This window comes from Homo sapiens, chromosome 3 (genome assembly GCF_000001405.40).
Source record: "Homo sapiens chromosome 3, GRCh38.p14 Primary Assembly".
NCBI classification, from domain to species: domain Eukaryota; kingdom Metazoa; phylum Chordata; class Mammalia; order Primates; family Hominidae; genus Homo; species Homo sapiens.
Genome location: NC_000003.12, coordinates 32,456,008 through 32,462,109, shown reverse-complemented (window position 1 = coordinate 32,462,109; position 6,102 = coordinate 32,456,008). Strand labels below are relative to the sequence as shown.

Here is a 6,102-nt window from a genome sequence, read left to right as displayed (position 1 = left end):
CAAGCTCAGCCACCAACTTAAAAAAGACTAGACCATACTTTTACCACTTTCCCTTCTCAGAATTCAGGCTTGTCCTCGGAATGCTACAAAGTACAGCCCATTTAAGCTCCTGTTTAGACGCTCCTTTTTATTAGGCCCCAGTCTCATTCCAGACACCAGACCAACTTAGACTGTGCCCCAAAAAACTTGTCATCCCTACTATGTTCTGTCTAGTCATACTCCTATTCACCGTTCTCAACTACTCATACATGCCCTGCTCTTGTTTACACTGGCAGTTTACACTGTTTCTCCAAGCCATCACAGCTGATATCTCCTGGTGCTATCCCCAAACTGCCACTCTTAACTCTTAAAGTAAATAAATAATCTTTGCTGGCAGGACTATGCTGAATCTCTTTAGGCACTCTCTAATTAAATGTCCTAGGTCCTCCCAATTCTTAGACCTTTAATACCTGTTTTTCTCCTTCTCTTATTCTGTTTAGTTTTCCAATTCATACAAAACTGTATCCAGGCCATCACCAATAATTCTAAATGACAAATGTTTCTTCTAACAGTCCCACAATATCGCCCCTTACCACAAAATCTTCCTTCAGCTTAATCTCTCCCACTCTAGGTCCCCACACCACCCCTAATCCCGCTCGAAGCAGCCCATTATCTCTCCATACCATCCCCCAAAATTTTCGCCATCCCAACACTTTACCACTATTTCGTTTTATTTTTCTTATTAATATAAGAAGACAGGAATGTCAGGCCTCTGAGCCCAAGCTAAGCCATCATATCCCAGATGGCCAGTTCCTGCCTTAACTGATGACATTCCACCACAAAAGTGAAAATGGCCTGTTCCTGCCTTAACTGATGACATTCCACCGCAAAAGTGAAAACGGCCTGTTCCTGCCTTAACTGATGACATTATCTTGAGAAATTCCTTCTCCTGGCTCATCCTGGCTCAAAAGCTCCCCTACTGAGCACCTTGTGACCCCCACTCCTGCCCATCAGAGAACAACCCCCCTTTGACTGTAATTTTCCTTTAACTACCCAAATCTTATAAAACGGCCCCACCCCTATCTCCCTTTGCTGACTCTTTTCGGACTCAGCCCGCCTGCACTCAGGTGATTAAAAGCTTTATTGCTCACACAAAGCCTGTTTGGTGGTCTCTTCACACGGACACTCATGAAAGTTTCCACACTTTTTTTTCAGGAGAGAAATCCCCCTTTTCAATCTAAATTATGCATGAAACTCCATTATGTCAAATGGGAAATATGGTATGAATATCAATGACTAATTTACATTGATAACATTTACTTATTATAAAGTCAGTGCATAGGAACAATGGGATTAATTTGGAAAGCCCACAATTTGGATAAGTAAGGAGATAACTGCAGCTGCAGCTTCACGGTCAGATTTGTTCTGCTGCTGCATCTGGGTTGCGCAGGATGGAGGAGCCCAGGCTTGCCCAGTGAGGTGGTGGCGGGGTTTTTAGCAGCTTGCTTCACACTCTGGGTGGCCTTGCACTGACGGCGGCTGCACGAGCTGAGTTACCCTGGGCAGACGGCATGGAGGCCGAGGGGCTCCCAGTGTCCGTGTTTGCTATTGAAGGCTGGAGAGTGTTTTAAGTGTTTGCATATATTTTACTCATAAAATCGGGTATCTGTGAGTCTGAAGCACCTCTGAGAGTTCACAGGATGCAGTTCAGAAACTGCCACAAAGGAGGGAAGTGGTGGTTGCTGAGGAGGGGCCCCAAAGACCTGCTGTGTTTCCATGGCAACAGAAGTTTGCTTTTCATGCTAGTGTAGAGGCTTGCAGGTGGGTGGCCCAGAGAATGGGCCAGCTCTGGGTCTGTCTTCCCCTACCTGGGGCCTCTTCAGTGGCCTGGCTGGAAGCCAGGCTGAGCTCAGCACAGGGCAGTGGCACAGGGGGTGCCTCAGGCCGGGGTTAAGGGGGCCTCCTTCAGGAACACACTTGTTCTCCCTCTGGGTCCGTCTGCAGACATCCAGCTCTGGCCCTGCCCTGTCATCCCAGCAGCCCGCAGTGGGGTGGTCCTAGGCCACGCCCAGAAGACAGCCAGGCCTGGGCGTCTTCACCGGGCTCCATCACTAATCTCCCTTCCACTTGGCTTTCTCCTCCGGTCTCCCCGCTACACTGTCCTCAAAGATTGGGGGTTCTATTGCCACGGGCCTCCCTATTACAGAAAACCCCACAGATGCTGTAGTCTTCCAGAGCCTGGCTGAGCAACAGTTTTCTGCCACTCTTGTGGGTAATGAGAAAACCTGGCAGAGGTGTGCCCAAGGGATGGCACCCCCCCTCAGCCTTCCTCCCTACCTCCCCAAGAGCAAGGCCAGGGAACGGGCTGGTTGTGGTGGGGGATGTGAGCAGATGGCCGTCGGCCTCATCTCCCAGTGCCCCTTGCGGCCACCGGTGCCAACACCCTTTCCTGGGGCCTCAGGTTGCCAGGATGGCTCCCCTGGCTCCCTGCTCCTCCCCCATGGGTGCATCCTTCCCTCCTCTCACATCTTTGCTTGGATCCACCTGGCTGTAACTGCTCTGGGAGCAGGGGTGGTGGGTACACAGTTTGGGTTCCACAAGGCCCCTGGGTTGAACAGCTCCCAGAGAGCCTGGATTAGAGAAGACAAACATACCCTACAGCTGTGTTCTCCAGGACCCATAATGCTTAGCTGTTAGAACATGGGGTGGCCACTGTTGGGCTGTGGGTTGCCATTTTGGGTTGGTGTAATTTTTGCTCTTTCAGCTACTGAGGTGCCTAGACATAGGTCCTGAATTGACTTTTTCTTTTCTTTTTTTTCTTTTTTTTTTTTTTTAGACAGAATCTTGCTCTGTTGTCCAGGCTGGAGTGTGGTGCTGTGATCTTGGCTTACTGCAACCTCCACCTCCCAGGATCAAGGAATTCTCGTGCCTCAGCCTCCTGAGTAGCTGGGACTACAGGCGTGCGCCACCATGCCCAGTTAATTTTTGTGTTTTTAGTACAGATGGGGTTTCACCATGTTGGCCAGGCTGGTCTTGAACTCCCGACCTCAGGTGATCTGCCTGCCTCAGCCCCGCAAAGTGCTGAGATTATAGGCATGAACTGCTGAACCTGGCCCTGAATTGCTTTTTAAAAAATTATGGTGGCCAGGCGCGGTGGCTCACGCCTGTAATCCCAGCACTTTGGGAAGCCGAGGCGCGTGGATCACGAGGTCAGGAGATCGAGACCATCCTGGCTAACATGGTGAAACCCCGTCTCTACTAAAAATACAAAAAAAATTAGTTGGGCGTGGTGGCAGGTGCCTGTAGTCCCAGCTACTCAGGAGGCTGAGGCAGGAGAATGGCTTGAACCTGGGAGGCAAAGCTTGCAGTGAGCCTAGATCGCGCCACTGCACTCCAGCCTGGGTGACAGAGCAAGACTCCGTCTCAAGAAAAAAAAAAATTATGGTAAAATAAATAAAATTGACCATCTTAACTATTTTTAGATGTACAGTTCAGTAGCATTAAGTGCATTCATTCATACTGTTGCAGAACCACCATGGCCATCCATCTCCAGAATTTTTCATCTTCCCAAACTGAAACTGTACCCATTAAATAATAACTCCCATTCCCCCTTCCCCTGGCCCTGGCAACCGCCCTTCTAGATTTTGTCTCCGTGATTTTGACCACCCTAGGTACCTCCTGTAAGTGGAATCACGCAGTATCTGTCTGTCCATGTCTGGCTTATTTCACTTGGCATAATGTCCTCGGGTTTCATCTGTATCATACCATGTGGCAGAACTTCCTTCCTCTTTAAGGCTGTCTGTATTGCTTTTGAGTAGTGCTTTACGTATTGTACAAACAGTACAAAACACGGAAATCTCGAGATCAGTATCTTCTTCAAACTCTACTCTTCTTAACTCCAGTGGGGCACAGAAACTCAGGGGTTCCCCCAGGTAGCATGAAGCAGCCCCTTCATTTCCGCAGCTGCTCCTCCCTGGGGCAGCAGGAGTACAGTCACCCTCCTTCCAGTGAGCTCCCTCTTCCTAGTTCACAAAGCTCTGCGATATCTGGCCTCAGTGGGAGGGGAGTGGAGCACGTTATTTTCTCACCTGTCCCCTGGGGCTAGAGTGTGGCTGTATGTGCCTCACCCCAGGCCCCAGAGCTCTGGCCAGCCTTCCTCGAAAGCTCCCAGGATCCAGGGACTATGAGGTTCCCCACACCCTCTGCTCTGCCTCTGGGTCCCCACAGTGCCCAGAGGGGCAAGGGTCTCTGAGGGCTGAAGCCAGAATATGGGAAGGGTCAGGAATTCGAAAATGCCAAGACAGGAGGCAGTGGAGGTGCTTTTTAAATTTTTTTAATCAACTTTTATTTTAAGTTCCGGGGTCCATGTGAAGGATGCACATCATAGGTAAACGTGTGCCATGGTGGTTTGCTGCACAGATTAACCCATCACCTAGGTACTAAGCCCAGCATCCATCATCCATTAGCTACTACTTCTTTTTTTTTTTTTTTTTTTTTCCTGAGATGGAGTTTTGCTCTTGTTGCCCAGGCTGGAGTGCGATGGCGCCGCAATCTCGGCTCACTGCAACCTCCGCCTCCCGGGTTCAAGTGATTCTTCTGCCTCAGCCTCCCAAGTAGCTGGGATTACAGGCATATGCCATCACGCCCAGCTAATTTTTTGTATTTAGTAGAGAAGAGGTTTCGCCATGTTGGCCAGGCTGGTCTGGAACTCCTGACCTCAGGTGATCCACCTACCTAGGCCTCGCAAAGTGCTAGGATTACGGGCATGAGCCACCGCGCCCGGCCCATTAACTACTTCTTAAAAGGAATCTTTCTTCCAATGCAGCTGTGGATCCAGTGAGAAGTAGGGTTTGCTTCAGAAACCCGCCAACTGACACCATTTCTCATCTCCTTCCCCCTTTGGTGAAATCAGCCTCAGAGTTGCACCCACTTTACAGCATCTTTGATTCCAACAGTGTCTCACAAATACTGCAATGCACACACACCACTGGGACTCGGTTATGATGCAGATGATTCTATTTTAGTTGGTCTTTGTGGGGCTGGGATCCTGCAATTCTAACCAGCTGCCAGGTGATATCCACTTTGTGGACAAGGCTTAGGAATTCCTGGCTCTCATTTCAGACCTATTGCATCTCAATTTCTTGGAGGAAGGCTGGTCGGCTTCCCCAGGCCGTGCTGCACTGTGATGAGTTAATGCCTGGGTTTAGGGGCTGGTCCTCCATGGGGCAGCTGAATGGCACTGCCCCCCGGCTTAGATATTCACTCCCTAGGGTTGAAGCTGTGTCCAGGAGGAGTGAGTCACCATAGGGAAACCAGAGGGTCTCCTTCTCCCTACTGTCAACAGCATCCTCAATTGCCAATGGAGAGCCAGCTGTGTGCAGAGGTTGCCAAGATGACTGGGGCTCAAAGGTGCTGGCCCTGCTTCTAGAACGTACCTGAGTGGCTGGGGCGCCACTGGGGCTAAAAGAACTGGAGAAGCAGAGGATCTGAAGGTCATTGTCATACTTCAAAAGTGAAAAGCCAGTGTCCCCTTCACCAGGTTAGACGAGGTTAGTGGGCCTCTGGCAGGGAGGACCCCCACGACTCAGCTCAGAGCCGGCTGCTGGGGATGCGTTCACCCACCCAGTTCCCTACAGGTGTTTCATCATGCCCTCTGTCCACCATGGGTCCCAGCGCCCGGCTGAAAACTGCCCTCAGCTTCCAATCTTGACTTTAACAAAATTTAAGGTCCAGGAAACTGAAAGTAAATTATGTTCTCCAGCTCCCTTGCACCCAGGTGATTCGATCACTTTTGCAACATTAACCTGCTCATTTCCTGTCATTCTGGTACCTCTCTGGGGATTAAGATTAGAAAGATAACGATAAGTAAGCACGCTGCTCTGTTACTGAATTCCAAGGAGGTCACAGACAGGCCAGGATGGGCTTATTCTCTCCGTTATACAAAGGGGGAACTAAGGTTCAGCAAGATGACCCGTGCCAAGTCGGGGGCTAGTCAATGGCAGAGCTGGGCTCAACCCCACGTCTGCGGCTCCCAGCCTGACTGTCTTTCCACCATCCTTAGCTCTTTGCTTAAACATTTACTCCCTGGTGCTGGAGATGTGGCCATTTAGAAGGGATGGTTTT

At 50.1% G+C, this 6,102-nt stretch overlaps 3 annotated features.

The window, feature by feature from the left end:
* Positions 699 to 993: a silencer, noted in NCBI's record as "tiled region #13101; HepG2 Repressive non-DNase unmatched - State 23:Low, and K562 Repressive DNase matched - State 9:DNaseU". NCBI's record gives its function as "represses a minimal TATA promoter and a strong SV40 promoter by Sharpr-MPRA in HepG2 and K562 cells {active_cell/tissue: HepG2 | K562}" and the evidence as "EXISTENCE:reporter gene assay evidence [ECO:0000049][PMID:27701403]".
* Positions 1,385 to 2,095: an enhancer, noted in NCBI's record as "OCT4-NANOG-H3K27ac-H3K4me1 hESC enhancer chr3:32501507-32502217 (GRCh37/hg19 assembly coordinates)". NCBI's record gives its function as "activates a minimal SCP1, AML or CMV promoter by ChIP-STARR-seq in primed H9 embryonic stem cells {active_cell/tissue: H9 hESC(primed)}" and the evidence as "EXISTENCE:reporter gene assay evidence [ECO:0000049][PMID:30033119]".
* Positions 3,692 to 3,901: an enhancer, noted in NCBI's record as "active region_19637". NCBI's record gives its function as "activates an Ori minimal core promoter by ATAC-STARR-seq in GM12878 lymphoblastoid cells {active_cell/tissue: GM12878}" and the evidence as "EXISTENCE:reporter gene assay evidence [ECO:0000049][PMID:35858748]".